At 48.3% G+C, this 18,535-nt stretch overlaps 1 pseudogene, besides 1 other annotated feature; it reads right to left on the minus strand.

Moving 5' to 3' along the window:
- On the minus strand, positions 5,865–16,389 carry MYLKP1 (myosin light chain kinase pseudogene 1; annotated as a pseudogene).
- Positions 8,521–9,022: an enhancer, noted in NCBI's record as "H3K4me1 hESC enhancer chr3:75380355-75380856 (GRCh37/hg19 assembly coordinates)". NCBI's record gives its function as "activates a minimal SCP1, AML or CMV promoter by ChIP-STARR-seq in naive H9 embryonic stem cells {active_cell/tissue: H9 hESC(naive)}" and the evidence as "EXISTENCE:reporter gene assay evidence [ECO:0000049][PMID:30033119]".

Below are 18,535 nucleotides of genomic sequence, written 5' to 3' on the forward strand. Positions count from 1 at the left end.
ACAGCTGTGGCTGGAGACAGAAAGTTTTCTCTTTTAAGAGCTGGCTGGAAGATTATTCTCTTCTATTTGGGAAAAGATAATCATATACTTTCAGGCTGTTGGGGTGGGGCCTATTCTGTTTTTGTTTGTTGCTTGCTTGTTTTGTGGCTTCAGCTGTGTGGATACAGAGCAGGAAGGCTAGAAGCAGGAAGAGGCTGGGGTGTTTTTCTGACCCTACAGATAGTTCTTCTTGGGTCGAGAAGAAAGACTGTAGTAGCAAACATGATCTGCAGCTGCAGAGAAAGCAGAGGGGATTTTTGCATCAAGGACAGACATGGGGATGAGGAACTGTATACAAGTCAGGAAACTTGACACCAGAGAGAGGAGGCCACAGAAGATAAGGGGTCTCCGTAGACCCTGTACAAAAGAAATGTACAAGAGGAAAGTAAATGGATTAAGAATCATTGTGATGGAATAATCAGAAAGATTATGAATGATACATGTTTCTTTAAAAGGGATTACTTTTTTGGCTTAGTGCTTGCACTCTATTCTCTTATTTTATCATTTTATTTTTAAAAGTATTAAACTGTGCTAACTTCTTTTTAACCACACCTAACTTTTAGGACCCAGAGCCCAAGGCATCTACTGCCACGTGGTGGTACAGTATACCACCTGTGGGATTTGGAATTGATGAGAATATACATTAATTGAAAATTGATTCTGCAGTCAAAATATGGAATCATAGAACATAGAGTTGTTGGAGATATTAAAGATTACATAGTTTTTCTTCTAATAAAACCCAACATCTTTTATATACAGTATTTTAGTTGAATACCTCCAATAACAGGGAGCTCATGATCTGGCCTGACAGGCTATTTTGTCATTCATTCTTGTTAGTTAGAATGTTTTTTCTATTTATTTATTTATTTATTTATTGATGAAGTTTAGCTCTTGTTCCCAGGATGCAGTGCAACGGCACGATCTCGGCTCACTGCAACCTCTGCCTCCCTTGTTCAAACGATTCTCCTGCCTCAGCCTCCCGAGTAGCTGGGATTGCAGGCATGCGCCACCACGCCTGGTTAATTTTGTATTTTTAGTATAGATGGGGTTTCTCCATGTTGGTCAGGCTGGTGTCGAACTCCCAACATCAGGGATCCACCTGCCTTGGACTTCCAAAGTGCTGGTATTGCAGGCGTGAGCCACCACGCCAGACCTATTTATTTTTTAATAGAAAAAATCACTTGTATTTATTTGTCTTCATGTTTACCTCTGGAGAAACTCAAGTTTAGTGATTCATCTATATAATAAGCTTTCAAATATTTGCAGGAACGTGTTTGTTTCCTCCGTAATCTTTTTGTCTTCAAGTTAAACAGTTGTAGTTCCATATTTATTATTCTGATGTCATGCTTTTCAGAATCCCCATAGCATTTCTTTCCTCTACTTTCTTTCTGTGTTGCCAGTGTTCCTGCTGCCAGAATTGGATCCAACCCAGTGTTCCAGACATGATCAGCTTAGTGAACTCTAGTACTTGCAGGCTGTCTGAACACCAAACTTCTAACACCTTCTGTATAGTATGAGTTAGCTTTCTGTAGCCTTTCCACAATGCTGACTCCTCTTAGGTTTGTGGTAACTGAAAGCCCAAGAATTTTTATCCTTTCCCACATTGTAAAACTTTTTTTTAAAAGCTGAAAGCAAGGCTGAACTTTAAAAAGAAAGCTTAATTACACAAGTTTAACACAAATACATTCTGAATTTCAGAGGTTACTCATAAAGCCAAAGCCTTTCTGAACTCCATACTAACTCAGTTTCTCTTTGGAGGTAGATCCTGGTATTAGTTATTAGGGGTCCTTCCAGACCTTTCTGTGCATTTACATAGATAGATAGATATCAGCAGAAATGTGTAAATTGTGTATGTGTGTTTGAGGTTAACATATCGTTTTGCAAGTTTCCTGCATGCAACATGTCCTGGAAATCTGCCTAGTATATTTCACAGTGTGGATATTCCGTAGTTTTCTTAACAATTCTTTGATTATTTCTCTTTTTTAAAATCATCATAAACAGCGTCTCCTTGTACGCATGTACAAGTGCTTCTCTAGGGTAGATACAAAAGACTGAGTGAGTGGTACATGCATGTTTATTTTAAAATGTAGATCTCAGATATGAAATTTGCCCTTGTTAATTTTGACCTAGTGTTAGTATCTGCCCAGATAATTTTACATCTTGATTTGGGTCATCTATTATAATATTAAGCCCACTATACCAGTTCTGCATCATCTGCCCACAGTATAAGCATATCTTTGATCTCCTGATCTAAGGAAATGATTGTTTTAAAAGTCAAACACGACAATCAAGGGAGGAGTTCTGTGGCCATTACCAGAGACCTGCATTCCATCTAAAGCTCACTGTATTCTCCTAACAAACACTTTGGTCTGTGCAGTTTAACTACAGCAATTCTACCCAACTATACGCTCATCTCATTCATTTTTCACCATTTTATATACAAGAATTTCATGGAGGACATTTGTAAAAGGCTTAGCAGAAATCCAGGCTCACCTTCTATGACATTCTCCTGTCTACTGTAGCGGGACTGTCATGGAGAGAAATGAGAATAGCACATATTGCTCCCGGGCACGTGTTATTTAAAATAGATCCTGGTAACACTTTAATGAGCAATGTGTTTATGTACCTCTATGCAAGAGTGTATTCAGTCTCAAAGATATCAAGAAAAAATAAGCTGTCCACTCCCAGTTGCCTGTCTTGCCTACATGTTCTCAGTCTAGTTGGTCTCCCAGGGAAACTGTCTGATGGCTGAGACATAGCTGCTTTAGTGACAAGCTCATGGGTTATATTTCCAATGTTATTCAAGCTAATTTGTCCTGCCTCAACATAACATAACAGAGGTAAAGGGGCCAAGCACAGTGGCTCATGCCTATAATCCCAGGTCTTTGGGAGGCCAAAGCAGGCAGATTACTTGAACCCAGGAGTTCAAAACCAGGCTTGGCAACGTAGGGAGACTTTGTCTCTACTAAAAATACAAAAATCAGCTGGATGTGGTGGCACACACCTGTAGTCCAGCTACTGAGGCCAAGGTGGGAGGATCCCTTGAGCATGAAAGTGAGCCAAGATCAAGCCACTGCACTCCTGCCTGGGTGACAGAGTAAGACCCTGTCTCCTCTTTCCAGATCTATTGAGAAAAGACTCCTTCCACCTCTCAGAATGCCCTACTCCCTGCGGAGGGACCTGCTTAAGTGGTGACTGATAGACAAGGCCTTAAGATAAGCTTTTTCCTTAACAAAACACCGGGCTCTTGAAGTCTTGGTGAGTGAAGGGACAGAAGGTGGGGCTGATTTTTTGAGACAATGCACTCTCCTGTATTGAAACAAGGCAGGTCCATTGCAAGGTCTGCTTCCACCACTGCAGGGAAAATACCAGAAACCTGGCAAGGCTGGGGGCACCATCAGTGTTTCAACCTTTGGACAACTGTTAACAAAATAGAGGAGTAAATAGTGATTAGTGTTTTCTATTGATAGACAAATTCTCAGCTGCCACCAGTATCCTGACAAAATAATAGGAATTAACTAAGAGGTCATATAGCACAGTGGTCTAGGCATGGGAACTCAGCCACCTGAGTTCAAATCCCAGCTCTGTTACCCCCAGCACCTTGCATTTGGCAAGGTACTTAACTTCTCTGTTAGTTGGACAGTACAGTCGTCGTTGGGAGGATTAAATGGGTGAAAAGTGTAAGAGGCCTAAGATAGTGTCTAGCACGTAGTGTTCAAGAGATGTCAGCTATTCTTTAAACACAATTTAAAAATATTTAGAAGATGTCTTACAGTTTGATTTGGGGCTTTCTCTGGAATCCCTTCCCACCTCTCCTGGTCTTTCTCTCCCCTCCATGTGCAGCTTTCCTTGGATCATTTCTTCTGCTGCTGCTCTGGATCTGAATTGTTCCCTCTGGGACGGTTTCCGTGGAAAGGGAGGCTGGAGTGGCTAGGATCTCTAGGCTCTTTACCACTCAGGGACCAGCAAGGAAAACACACTACATGCACTCAGGGCACAAGAAAACAGTGGCTAATGGCTCAGAAGGGTTTCTGAGAGCAGGCCTGGGGTCTGCCTTACATCGCTTAGTTGAGTGAATTATTTGTAAATGGCTGTTGATGGCTCTGGGTTTAAACCCCATGCAAGCCTGAGAGCAGCTGCTCCCAGCCGACTTAACCTCAGTTTCCCTGAGGCTGGAGCAGCCACAGACCTCCCATTGTGCAGGCCTGTGTGGCTGCACATGTCCTGAGGATGGTGGATGCCACTCTGCATCCTGCCTGGAGAGATCACTGTAGGGTGACCTGGGAAATGGTCCCAGTCAGGGTTTCTAATCAGTTTTACCAAGGACTTTCCAAGTGGGAGAGCCCCACAGGGGTGGCAGGACAGGCTGTGGCATCTGCTCCTCTGGACGTCTCACCCCAGCCCAATAATCCCCCACGCCTCAGGGGAGAGGGGCTGAGCCAGCAGAGGTGGGGGATGGAGGAGACGACTTCTGGAGGACCCTGCCAATCTGAGGACATCCACATGGAAAAGTTACTGCGTCAACACATTAGCAGAAAATAACACACTTTTCTCTCTGCCAGCCAGTGTCCGCTTCACTCTTTCAGCGCTGAGGTTCAACATGCTCAGCTGCTCCAGGTGTGCTGTCCCAGATGTAAAGGGTAGACAGACCCTTACTGGGGGCTGAGAGGGATTGTGTGATCTTCAAATGCTCCATGTTGCTTGTGAGGGGAAGGCAGGTGAGGGAGGTGAGGGAGAGAGTGGGGAGGGTGCTGCCAGGGGACAGGGAGGGGAGCAGCCCACGGGGAGAGCACTCTGACACCTCAGCTGACTCGGATTTGACAGGACCTGTCCACTCTGGCCTCTTCTGTGGCTGCCCTCTGGCCTGAAGGGCGAAATGTCACTTCCCGGGAGCTTCTTTGTACCCTGCCCTGGCCAGAGCCACCAGCATCAGCTCAGACCGGACTCTGTTCTGCGTTGGCAACCTATCCCTCCGCTGGCTGCCAGAATGGGGTGTGGAGGTCGGCTGGCCTCGGAGCTCCCACCCAGACTTGGGATTTACAAAAGCACTTCAAACCAAATTCAGGGTCCAGAGAAAATCCTCCTATGTCACCCCCATCTCTTCTCCAAGTATAAACTGGCCCCTCTGAAAACTCCAGACCCCAAAAGCCCACACAGATGGAAGGATTTGGGGGCCCCCTCCTCTCCCCACCATCCAAGAATGTGAAATACCAGCAAACAAAAGTCTCATGCAAATTAGGAAGCGAGCAGCTCTGTCTGCCCATGAGTGTGTGCTGTAGGGGCTGTTTTGGGATTTTGGCTTTCCTGACAGATCCCTTCAAACCCACAATGCTATCAAGACTTAAGTTATTGTTGACCCCAACTCAGAGCTCCGTGCCATCTGGTCACTGCCCACCCTTCCCCTAACCTAAGACGCTGCTCTAAACAGCTCTTTACTCAGAGCTCCTCGCTGGCTTGAGCCTCCGTGTCCCCCACCTCCAAGCCTGTGAACAGAGCCCTCTCCACGCTGGAGCTGGGAATTAACTCAGGCTCAGGTCTCCTCTGGGGAGCCACAGGTGGGGGTGCCATGAGAGGGCTCTGCCAGACGGATGCCGAGATGTGGGCATGTGCCACAAAGACCAGGATCCCAGCCCTTAGCCCCAGCCTTGGTGCATGTACCCAAGGCCCCTGAGCAGGGACCTATCCTTGAGTGAGCAGGAAACAGGGGCACGACCCTCCTACCCAAGCTATGGGCTGCTAACAGAGGTCAGCGAGACCAAGGCTGCATGAGCTAGCAGTGGCCCTGGTACAGAGGCCCCTTCTTCTCCAACCCCCACACTCATTTACCTTCCTGGGAGAGGACGATGAACTTGGTGGTCTTGAGGGTCTTTCCATTCAGCGTCCAGGTGATGGTGGCTGGGGGGGGTCAGAAGACACCTGGCACTGGAGCAGCAGCTTCTTGCCCTCTGCCACACGAACATCTTGCAGCTTCTCCTTGAAGGCTGGGGCTGTCTGTCCCCTGGCTCTCTGATCTCTTTTCATTATCTGTGGTCCCTGAATGGCCTCTCTTGCAGTTCACATCATTCTTAAGGTCTTTCTTGAGTTCTTCTTTGCTAGTGGATTTCAGGGTCTCAGCAGGCTTGGTGTTGCCCACGGGTTTCAAGGGTCCTGAAGGCTGTGCATTGCTCAGGGGCTTGGAACTTGCCACTGCCTTGGCATTCAGGGTCTCAGCACTGCTGCTACCATTCTCTGCTGGTAATTTCTTCTTGCCACCCAGCACTGAGTGAAAATCCGGGGTGGTAGGTTTTGGCAGTGGCACCTTCTCAGGCATGGGGTCTTGGAGTCCCCTTCTTGGCCAGGACAGAGCAGAAATCGACCTGCTGGGGGCTGTGCACCTTCCTCTCTTCCTCGCACACAGTCTTTGGCTTCACTTGCCACTGCAGGTTGGCACGGAGATCCATCTGCTTGGCTGGGATCTCCTTCAGGTCATCTTCCGATAGTGTCTTGGTACTCACCTTCTTCCCCAGGAGGTCTCGGAAGTCCAGCTGCTCCATCTCTTCCTGGTGGATCGCCTCCTCAGTGTGCTGCCTCGTCTCCATGCACCTCTTCAGCACCCCTCGCATGTCCTCGCCGTCTTCCTCCTCTGGCCAACCCTGCCCTCTTGCTGGCCAGCCAGGCATCAGGGACCCATAGCGGTCACTACCACCACCATCAGCACCAACTCCTCCACCACAGAGGCCCTCACAGCTGGCAGGCTCACTCCCCCTGCAACCAGTGAAGGGAAAAAGGAAAGTAGCAGGAGGAAAAGGGGCTGGGTAAGAAAGAAACGTCAGGGGAGAGCAAATCCCTGAGGGAGGGTAGAGGGGAGCGGGAGGGGAGGGGGGAGGCTGGCCAGGCTGTGTTTATAGATGGGAACATTGGTCAGAGGTGCTCACTTGCTTAGTTGGTTTATTACATCGGTAATGACTTCAGTAGCCTTATAGGAGTGTGTGCAAAAAAAAAAAAAAAAAAAAATCACCCCCTCCTTCCCCTGCTCTCCCTCCCTCATTCCCCTTCCAGGCTCTCCTGTCTGGCTTTGGCAGCCTCAGCTGCAGGGCACAAACAACTAGGGCTGCTGGGCTGGAGCTGCCAGGGCCAGGAGGAAGGTGGGGATGGGAACATGGCCTGGTGGGGCAGCTCCTGGGGGCACTCACTGCAGGAGGGCTTTGGCAGGGCTGTTCTCTAGCATCAGTGACATCTGGCAACTGCATTTGCCAACCCGGTTCCTGAGGAATTCCAAAGATCAATAAAGATTAAGAGGCCCTCTGGACAAAGGGCCTGTTCAGTGTGGATTTGATTGCAGGAATTCATCAACTTGGCTGTGACATTCACCCCAGCCTTAGATTTAGGGCAGGACCCTCTCATTCTGTGGTCACCCTTTATTTTCTCAGCTCTTATTTAAAAAGAAGAAACAAAGAATCTCTGGACAACAGCCAAGGCAGGCATCCAGAAGTAGGAATACTTTTCTGTAAGTATATAATATAATCAATCAATCGATCAGCTAATAAAAGGGGAAGGAGAAAGGCTAACACTGCTAGGGACTGTGATGGAGCAGCTCGGTCTAGACAGATAGGCCCTGGTGGTGGGCCTGCTCAGTGACCCTGACTCTGACTCCATGATCCCTTAACAGGGAGGTAGTTCCTTTCCCTCTCCTTCTCAGGAATGGAAGCACCCTCAACCCCCCACTCATTGATAATGCTCTCAGATCAGAAGTTTTTGTGTTAAAAACCCAACAAGTGTTTTCCTACATGAGTGGCCCTTTCTCTTCTTCCTTCAGGTGGGGAGGGCTCTGGATTCTTCCTGTCCATAAACCTGGTCAGTCTCCTGCTGGTGCACAGAGGCTCAGGCCCTCTGCTCAGGGGAGGGGCTGTACCCTGCCTGGCTGCAGTGCAGTGGATTTGCAGCAGATTGTCCCTCCAACCCCATAAGGCTGCCACCTGCTAGCATTTCTGAGCTCTGACCAGCCAAGAAGGTTCTGCTCAGGCTAGGGGAAGGGGTGGGGGCAAGTCTGCAAGCCAGAGGTGACTAGTGATGGTTATAACAACTGCATTTCATACAGCACCCTCCAGCTTTCATGACACCCACACACAGTTCTTTCTTGATATCTACAGCATGCCAGAGAGGCATAGAGTACTGCCATGCCCAATTTAAAGATAAGGAAAGGGGGCTCTGGGGTGGGACCCTCAGGGTCTCTGACAACAGTGCTCCCACTCATGCCCCTGGATGTGGCTGTCTCACTAGCACTCAGACCCAATAGCAGATGTGCCAAGCTCTGTGACAGATTCTTTACATGAAACATCTCATTTAATCTTAGAACAGCTCTGTGAGATTAGAGTCAGCACTGTTTTTATAAGGTAAGAAAAATGAGGCTTATAAAGGTAAAGTAGTCCAGGTGCAGTGGTTCACGCCTGTAATCCCAGCACTTTGGGAGGCTGAAGTGGGAGGATTGCTTGAGTTCACGAGTTTGACACCAGCCTGGGCAACATAGCAAGACCTCACCTCTATTAAAAAATAATAATACTAAAGGTCAAGGTTAAGTAATTTGCCTAAACTCACAGAGCGTGCTAGTGGAGGGAGGGGTTGGGACCTGTGACGCTATGACCTTTGCACCCCACCCTACTGTGCTTATCAGTACAAATCTGGTCTGGGACATGTGTGTGTCCATGCACGTATGTAGATATCAACCATACACATGATGCACACATATACTGGTCTAGCTGGTGGGCACCTGCCCCTGGAGGTCTGTGTTTGGGAATATGTGCACATATGAGTTACACCCACCTGGACAGGCATCTGAGCATGTGTTCTTGTACGTTCTGCTGGCGTGTGTGGGTCTCCACCTCACTCTGCCTGGCCTCCCTCCCAGTGGATGGACACTGGCAGCCCATGGCCTGGCCCAGGATTCTCAGGGGCTCTGGGGTGCTGCTCACCATTGGGTGCTGGCACCCATTTGAAGCAAGGAGAAGCCAATCATTGCTATCCTCCAGCCTCCCCTCGCCTGCTGGGCTCCCCTCTCCTGCTGAGCTCCCCTCCTTTGTCCTTCTCCCCAGTGCCCTCGTGCTGTCCCAGGCTGTGCTGGTGCAGGTGCCTTCCTGACTGCCTTAGCTCTTTCACTTCTCTCACCACCCTGGCCATGCATCCCATAGCCTGTCCCCTCCCAGCCACCCTCCTCAATGCTCAGGCTCTCAGAGGGCACAGATTCAAGGTGCAGGGAGTCTCAAGTCTGGAGAATTTTGAGTTCAGGGTGTTCCTTTGCTCAACAAACAGCAGTTAGAAACCTCATGGGTGCCAGGCCCTGGGAAGACTAAGAGGTCCTCAGCGTGCCCCGAGTTCTCAACACTCAGAAAGGCTTATGGGCTTTGGGTGAGCTTGTAGAATAACCATGTGAGGTCACCCTGCTTCTGCCAGGCTGCTGGCCAGTGTCAGGCCACTCTTTTCCTACTTTTAAGCACAGCCTTGTGGTGCCTGGATTGACATGGAGCAGGAAGATGAGATGCCCAAGGGCTGTGTTTGCCTGGCAGTCCTTTCAGCATCTCCTCAGCAGAGTTTCCTCCTGTCACCAGTAGAACACAGCCCAGATGCAAACATCAGGAGCAGACACTGCCCAGATGGCTGCTTTACCCCAGCTGAACTCCTGAGAGGCTTTGGTGGTGGCCAGCCCTGTGCACCAAGCTGGAGTAAGCCGTCTCTCCCCATGGGGGAAGCAGATGAGGGCTTCTTTCACTTTCCATGACCTGTGCTCAAGGTGGGGAGCACAGACTCAGATAAGCTTCTCAAGGGCTCCTGACCAATCTACCCCCAGGCCTTACCCTGTGGCACCCAGCAGTCTAAGGGGTCAGAGGAAGGTGGAGGACTTGGTACCAAGGCTGACCCATTAGGTGGAACATCCGGTGGTGAGGGTGATCTAGTGGTAACCATTCCTACAGCCATACACTTAAATCTCTGCTGGGCCTTAAAGACAAACCATGGGTTCATTTGCAGCCTACAAAGTTCATAGTGGCCTCCTGCCTGGGACCCACATGTCAGATCACCTAAGCTGCTGGAACAGGGTCTTGGGGCCATCTTTGACATCTGCACATACCTAGTTACAAAATCAGGGCTGGGACTGAAGATGAGGCCCCATCCCAGGAGCTGCCACAGAGCATATGGGGCTATCATCCTATATACTGAAACTTTCACAAATAAACAGAGTCCTTTTGCCTCGGCTTACTAAGCCCTGAATAAGAGTCCCACTCTTTGATTACAAAGCCTTGGATCCTGTCCCACCCTGAATCATCGACCTCTTGGATGGTTTTATATGGAAAAATCAGTTTAAAGAACTAATTTCCTGGCAAGTATCAAGTGTTTCAAGTATTCCAGCTGGAATTTTGACCTGACTTTTTGTCATTTCCCCTTTTGGCACAGTAGACAAGAGCTAGGAAGGGAAGAGAGGCAGAAACTACCCACCCATACCTGCCTCACAACCCTAGCAGGGACAAGCAGGATCTGCCCACCCCTCTGCCCTTGTACACCAGACCCCCGGCTCCCTCCCAGCCATCCAGTCGTTCCCCTCGAAAGGCACCCTGCTCTAGGTCTAGGTCACTGGAGGAGCGAGGTCTCTGGCAGGCCTGCCACGTACCCTCAGGAAACTCTACTGACTTGCTTCTTCTCAGGTGGGGACAAAGCCAAGGCCAGGGCAGTGGCCTCTGAAAGGAATGAAGAGGCTGGACTTTGGGGAAGAAAAAGAGGCAAAGGCTGCAGGCTGGAGGCTCTAGTGTGGTTTCCCAGGTCCTTCCAGTTCCCTGTGCACTTGGGAGAAACTCCCCATGCAGAGCCATAAGGAATGGAAGAGCATCTGATTTAAGTCAAAAGATGAGGGCTTGAACTTGGGCTCTGTTACTTGCCTTTGGGTGGCCACAAACAAGTCCATGACCCTGAGACCTCACTGTCCCCCGTTATTAAACAATGATGAGGCTAGATAACTTCTGAAACCCCTTCCAGCTGGGACAATCTAAATTTTTTTTTTTTTTGAGACGGAGTCTCGCTCTGTTGCCCAGGCTGGAGTGCAGTGGTGCGATCTCGGCTTACTACAAGCTCCACCTCCCAGGTTCAGGCCATTCTCCTGCCTCAGCCTCCCGAGTTGCTGGGACTACAGGCACCTGCAAGCACACCCAGCTAATTTTTTGTATTTTTAGTAGAGACTGGGTTTCACCATGTTAGCCAGGGTGGTCTTGATCTCCTGACCTCATGATCCGCCAACCTTGGCCTCCCAAAGTGCTGGGATTACAGGCATGAGCCACCATGCCCGGCCGGGACAGTCTCAATTTTATGACTGTCCCCAGCTGGCCCCAGATAGTCTGCCTGCCGACCTCCTGGTGCACGCCTCCTCTCTGGCCTGGCAAACTTCCCACAGCCCTTTGCTTGGCTCTGCCCCCACCCCACCCTTTCTTGCTCAGCCTACTCAATAGCTAAGCCTTATCACATTTGCCAAGACTCAGCCTTCCTTCTCCATCAAAATCCCAAAACAAGCTCATCTCCTCTAGGATGTCTGGCTTGAGTAATGTAAGCATTATCTCAAAGTGCTACTCCTTCTATACGACAAGATCATCAGCACATATTTTTACACATCATCAGTTTCCATTCTTTGTACTGACCTATGGGGTAAGTGTGTACCTTCTCCCCATTTTGGAGGCAGAGTGGCCTTCCTGGTAATAACTAGTTCAAGCATAAGGCAAAGGCAGTTGATGCATTCTGAGTGTACTGCTAATAATAGTAGGGTGACCAGCAGCTCACAAGCATCCCATCACTTGACCGCAACAGACATGTCATTGAGCTCAGCTGAGATTAGCCTTGCCTAAATCAGCAGAACTTTCTAGGATACCCAAAGACTCCTAAGAAATAATAAAACTGCTTAAAAAATCTAGTTATTTTTAATAGTTATTAAGTATTGGGTTGGTTTGTTACGCAGCAAAAGATAACTGATACAGGTATAAAGCACATGGTCACAAAGGACCTAAGGGGATAGGGTACATATTAGGTTTTGCATTAGCCTTGGCATTTAGCTCTAGAGCCTATTTGTAGCTCAGAGCTGTGAATATGATGGCTCAGTATGGGGAGATGATAAAGTACAGGCAAGAAAGCCACTTGCAAAGTGGTCATGCACCCGGGCCAGGACAGGTCTAACCATCCTCAGGATGTGGCACCACCTCCTATTTGTAGGTTAGGTGCAGACAAATGCTCTTCTTCGATGCTTACACCAACCCCAGGACCCACAGAAGGCATTCTGTCCCCACCAATCCAGGGCTGGCATAGGATTTTAAGAGACAGAGCATTTTCAAGGTAAAAGAGCATTTCTGAATCACATTCATCTAATAAATAGCTACCCAGTGTGGACTATGGGCTCGCCACTGTTCTAGGCCTGGCAATGTAGCAGTGTGCCTCATGGAGCTGACCTTCCTGTGCAACCTAGCAAGACCTTGAAAAGGAGAGAAGAAGGTAATGGGGAAATGTAACCTCCCTGTGGTAGTTTTAAAATGTCTGCAAATTCTTCTCTCCAAGAGGCGGAACTGAATTTACCTCCCCTTGAGTATGGGCTGTACTTAGTGACTCACTTCTAACAAAGTCGGACGTGATGGCATGTGGCTTCCAACCGTAGGTCTTAAAAGACACTGCAAGCTCCGACCTGGGCTCCCTCTTTGATCACTAGCTCTGGGGAAGCCAGCTGCCATGCTATAAAGACACTCAAGCAGCCCCACGGAGAGGTCCACAAGGCAAGGAGCTGAGTCCTCCCACCAACAGCCAGTGAGGAGCCAAGGCTTCCCACCTACAACCAGTGAGGAGCTGAGGCCTCCTGCCACAGTCACGGGAGTGAGCCTTGGAAGCGGATCCTGCAGTGTCAGTCGAGCCTTCAGAGACTGCAGCCCCTGCCGACATCTTGACTGAAACTTCAAAATCATCCAGCTAAGCTGCTTCCAAATTCCCAGCTGGGAGACGATAAATGTTTCAAGCTGCTAAGTTTCAGGGTAATTTGTTACACAGCAATAGGTAACAAATGCATTCCCTCTATCCCCCTGCTTTTCCAACTTTAATCCATTCCTCCTTCCTTCATACTCACCATACACCACATAATGGGGGAACAGGGATGTAACAAGACAGGATTCTGGGGAAGTGAGCTCAAAAGGGAAGGTTCTAATGAACACTTGCTATACTGAAGTGTAAGATGCAAAAGCTTGTGAGCAGCACTGAGCCCGCACTTGCTTTACCTGGAAGTCCAAGCCCCACATTGGTTTGTGCTTCTTCTGGCTGCCCAGACCCAGGTTAGGGGAGGTAGGAATTTGGAGGGAACGGTTAAGGGAGGCTGGCCGGACATGCAGACTCACTTGAGCAGGATCTCATAGTGGCCGGCATGCCAGGGCTGCACCATCTTTAGAACCAGGGTGAACACGTCCTCATTCTGAAGCACCTCGAAGTGGCCATTGTCTTTGGAGACGGCTTTGCCATCTCGGAGCCAGTGCACGGTAGGAAAGGGGTCACCAGCTATGGCGCAGGAGATGAGGACACTCTGGCCCAGGGAGGCTGTCACTGAGCGAGGCTTACTGATGAACCAGGGCTGGGAGCCATCGTGAGGCTCTGGAAGTTGGCAAAGGGCAGAGCTAAACAGGGAGGCCCCTCAGCAGGCAGTGTCCACTCAATTCTCCATGGAGGTGAAAGAGGGAAGATAGCATGTCACCCAAGTAACAGCTTGTCCAGAAATCACTGCGATTGGATACACAAATGCAGCACACCCTTCTCATTGCACATCCATCTCCGATATATTCTCAGAGGATAATATTAACATGACTGTATATCCAACGTAAGGGGACATAGCCCAGAAGGCACAGGGGCACCGAGCCAGGTGCTAATGATCTGTATCCAATGCGTGTGATTAAGAGTTGTCACTCACTTTATGTGTGCTTAACTTGCCTCTCCTCTTAAATATGTTATCTGATGGCAAGGACCCTGTTAAGCCCATAACTCACCTCAAAAGCTCTCGCTGCCAAATTGTTCAGTGTATTACAGATTTCCCTCTTAGTACTCTATGCACCTTGGCACCAGTAATCCAGAGAGGGCAGGGACTTCAGAAAGCTGGGAAGGACAGCCCCACTCAGTCAGAGCTTGTGATGTTGGACAGGGAGCTGGCCTCTGGGACTGGGGTGGGACTGAGGGAACAGAGGGCCTACAGTGGGAAGAAAGTAGCCTCATGTGGTTTCCTTGCCTCCAAATCACTTTTGGAGAGGCCGCAGCAGCACCTCCTTCCCACTCGCTCTGAGTGGGTCAGCCTCACCTTGTACCATCAGCATGGCCTGGGTGCGGACCTCTTCGGCGCTGTTCCAGGCCTCGCAGGTATACATGCCCGTGTCCTCCGGGAACACTTCCTGGATACAAAGGCTGTGCTGAGTGCCTCTCTGTTCAAAGTGGAAGTCCTCTGACTCTTGGATCTCATTCCCATTGTGCAGCCAGATGACTTCAGTGGGTGGATTCCCTGAACCAGGAGGAGGGGAAGGGGGACTGGTTAGGGAGGTCCTTCCCGCCATGCAGCAACTCTGCACTTAATACAGTGATATTGGATGAAACACTCCAACAACTCTCTATGCTTCCACTTCCCCATCCGTAAAACAGGAATTCAAACAGGATCTACCTCGTGGGTTTGTTGGGAGGATGAAATGAGTCAACCAAACCTCCCTTAGCAGCCCATTAGGACAGCAGATTAGAACAGCATCTGGTACACAGAAAACACCCCATACATGCTCATCAGAATTATTTAACATAAGATTTGGGGAAAATACTAAAAACCCAGAAGTGAAAATATGATTTCAGATATGAAACAGAAAACCCAGGAAGAATAGTTTTTAAAATTAGAATTCAAGCTGCTTGATAATCCTAAGTGGTGACTGGACTCCTGGGTTGAAACTGAATGTGTTTTCTGCTCTGCACTGCTTCACATGGTGCACCCACATCTAGGCAATGGTAACTTCATGGTAACTCCCTTGCAAATTTTCAGCAGAGAGAGACCTCAGGTAGCATTTCATTTTTCTATCACACAAAATATCATCCCAGGGTAAAGATAGGTACCAGCTTGAGCAGGATTTCCAAACATGGCTCTTGATGGATAGCATTTTCAGTTTTTACTGGTCTACTTTTCTGGGTAGTTTCTGGGGATTTTTTGGAGCATAAAACCATGGGCATCTGTGAGGCTTTCCTCTGATATAAGAGCTGAGCTGTTAGGCACTGCTTCAAAGGAGCAAGGGCCCTGGAGGAGGCTGCTGAGGCAGGCTGTGTGACACCAGGCCCTGGAGAGGTTCAGGAGAGGGCATGGCATGTCTGCCATGGGTTAGACATCAAATGCCTGGAGGCAGGTGCAGAGCACCTCCAATCTCTTTCAACTCAAGGACTCAGTGTGCAGCACGGTGAGTGTGGACAGGGGAGGGGACCCAGCCCTCTGCCTAGGACCATCAAAGGGTGGCTTCTAGCCCGCAGGAACAGGGAGTCCATCTAAGCATCCCTAAAAGGGCAAGTCCACAGGATCTCTGATGGCCCATCTGGTTTTGCTTATGCAGCTCAAGAGGGACTGAAAAACTAGGAAAGCGACCTTCAGAGTGTCAGAGGCACTGATCAGTGGCCAATTACCAGTTATGCACTCAGTGGAAAACTCTGGCTCCTCAGCCATGAGCGATGTGCCAGGATCTTCTCTGGGCTTCTCTCACTCACCTCTAGCAAGGACTGTGATATCTCAGACCAGGATACTAATCACATGCTCTTGTTTCCCTGCCTCTGTTTTAGAAGAACCTCTGCTCTATCATTTCACCGCAAAATTTGAATAGAGCAACTGAGAAAACATCTTCTGAGATTTGGGAAGTTCTCACATAATGTGGTTTTGTACCAGTCTTTAAAACCTTCCAGCTACACTGGCCACACTATAATTTCAAATTAATCTCTCACTGCTCTAGCTCTATGGCCATCTTCTTCCTCTGGACCATTTAATCGGAATCTAGAAAATCCTACCCAGAGAAAGCAGAAAAGAGAGGACAAGAATCTCCATTTCTTTGGGTCCATCACCTGATGGTCATCTGATTTTCTGGTGGATCAAGGATCTGAGCGGGTCCTCGGAGAGCAATACTCATTGCAACCAAGACCATTTTCATGTTAATCCCCGAGAGAGAGCTGCAGAGACAGACCTGACACTTGGGCCATCATAGTGACCTGGCTTCCATCCATGACTTTGAGATCAGAGAGGCCCTGCAGGAAGATGGGTGCATTGGGCTTGCTGGGAGCCACAGGCAGAAGGTACTCGCTCTTCCCGCTACTCTTCTTTTCTGTGTGGTAGAAAACAGAGTGTGGGGTGAACGTTCATGCATTCATTCAACAAACACAGACTAAATGACCACTTGGTACATGACTGTGTTGATGCTCAGGTTCCCACCAGAAACTGGCAGCTAACAGATGAAGAGTGTTTGGAGTTCCTAGAGATCATTAGGAACAAGATGCCTCCAATTTCTCTGCTTGGCAATGATGAGGTTCTTGCCTGATAGCCAGGAATGAACAATGAGTGCCTATAAGTTTGTGAGTTTTTAAAACATTTTATTTATTTTTCAAATAAATGATACCCTCACATGGCACAAAATTCAAAAGATACCAAAGAGTATGGCAAGTCTCCCTCCCACCCCATCCCCTGGCCACCAGTGATCTCTCCTCAGAGGCAACGAGTTTTCAGTTTCTTGTTCATCTTGGCAGAGATGATCTACGTGTGTAACATATGGAAGCAAACAGCATTTATTATCTTCTTAAAAAGTAAATGAAAGCACGTTATACAAAATAATTGGCATGTTTTTAACTTAACAGTACGTCTTGGTGTCTCTCATAAGGCAGAACTGAAACGCTTCTTTGTCATTTTCTATAATTATATGGTGCTCCATTCCCATCCTAGGAAGTTTTAAGCACCTCATGAAAGCCAAGGACACTACACTCATTAGAACGGCTAAAAATAAAAAGACATCACATCCCAAGAATTGGTCTTGACAAGGATGTGGAGCAACTTGCAAATCTCATATATGGCAGGTGGTACAGAACCTCCTGAAAACAGCTTGGCAGTTTCTTAAAAAGTTAAACATATACTTCCCTTAGGATCTAGTCATGCTACTCCTGGGTATGTCCCCGAGAGAAATGCAAGCACATATCCATACAAAGTCGTGTACACAAACTTTCAGAGCAGCTTCATTCACAATAGCTGCAAACTAGAAATGACCCAAATATCCATCAACAGGTGAGTAAATAAACAAATTGTGATATATCCACACAATGGAATATTACTCAGCAACAAAAAAGAATGAACTACTGAGGGCACCACAACAGGGATGAATCTCACAATAATTATGTTGAATGAAAGACACCAAGCTGTAGGACCAGCTACTTGGGAGGCTGAGGTGGGAGGATCACTTGAGCATGGGAGGTTGAGACTGCAGTGAGCCATGATCACACCACTGCACTCCAGCCTGGAAGACAGAGTACGACTCTGTCTCAAAAGCAAAAACAAACAAACAAAAAAAAAAAAAAAAAGGAAGAAGCTAGACAAAGAGAGAGTACATACTGGATGACTCCATTTATATAAAATTCTAGAAAATGCAAAGTCCAGTGACAGAAAGCAGGTCAGTAGTGGTGTGGGGCAGGGGACGGGAGGTTGGATTATAAAGGGGCATGAGGAAACATTTGGAGACAATGAGAATTTCACTTTAAAAAATCATGGCAAAGGTTTCATGTGTGTACATATGGCAAAACTTAACAAATTAAACAACTTAAGTATGTGTAGTTTATTGTACATCAATAATACCTTAATAAAAACTGGGAGAAAAAATCAATTTCTCAGAGAGGGAGTGCGTCGGCAAGTCGAGGAGGGTGAGAGGCCTGGCCCCTCACTCACATTCAGTTTCTTGTGGAGGTGGCTGCAGCCTTTCCTCATTCTTGGAATCCCCGCCTCACAGGAGCTGAAGGGGAGGGGGCTGTGGAGTGGCTGGTCCTGCCGTCCACATCTCACAGGGAACAATCCTGGTGCAGGACAAGCCATGGGTGCCCAGCCTCTGGTATCTCCCTTGGTCCTATGAGCCAGGCAGCTTGACTTTCAGTAATGCCATTTTAGCATTTTTTGTTTTTGTTTTTGGCAGATGCAGCTGTTGAGAAGGGGAGGGTTAGGATATTTCTAACTTAAACCCTAAGTTTCTGGGGAAAGCACCGCCGGCATTTTGGGTTTTTATCAACACAGGACCACAAATACTAGACCTTCTTCAGGAAGCGGAGCCATGGGGAGGTTTCCACGGTATGTAATGTATCTGGGCAGGTGTCACCTCCAAAGTTGCCACTGAATTTTTATCCACTGCCACTGAAAATGAAAGCAGGCCTACTGTAGAACTCTCCTAGCCCAGCCTCTGGGAACCTGGATGGGGAGAAGCTGGGAAGGTCCAGGAGGCTG

This window comes from Homo sapiens, chromosome 3 (assembly GCF_000001405.40).
Source record: "Homo sapiens chromosome 3, GRCh38.p14 Primary Assembly".
Lineage (NCBI taxonomy): Eukaryota > Metazoa > Chordata > Mammalia > Primates > Hominidae > Homo > Homo sapiens.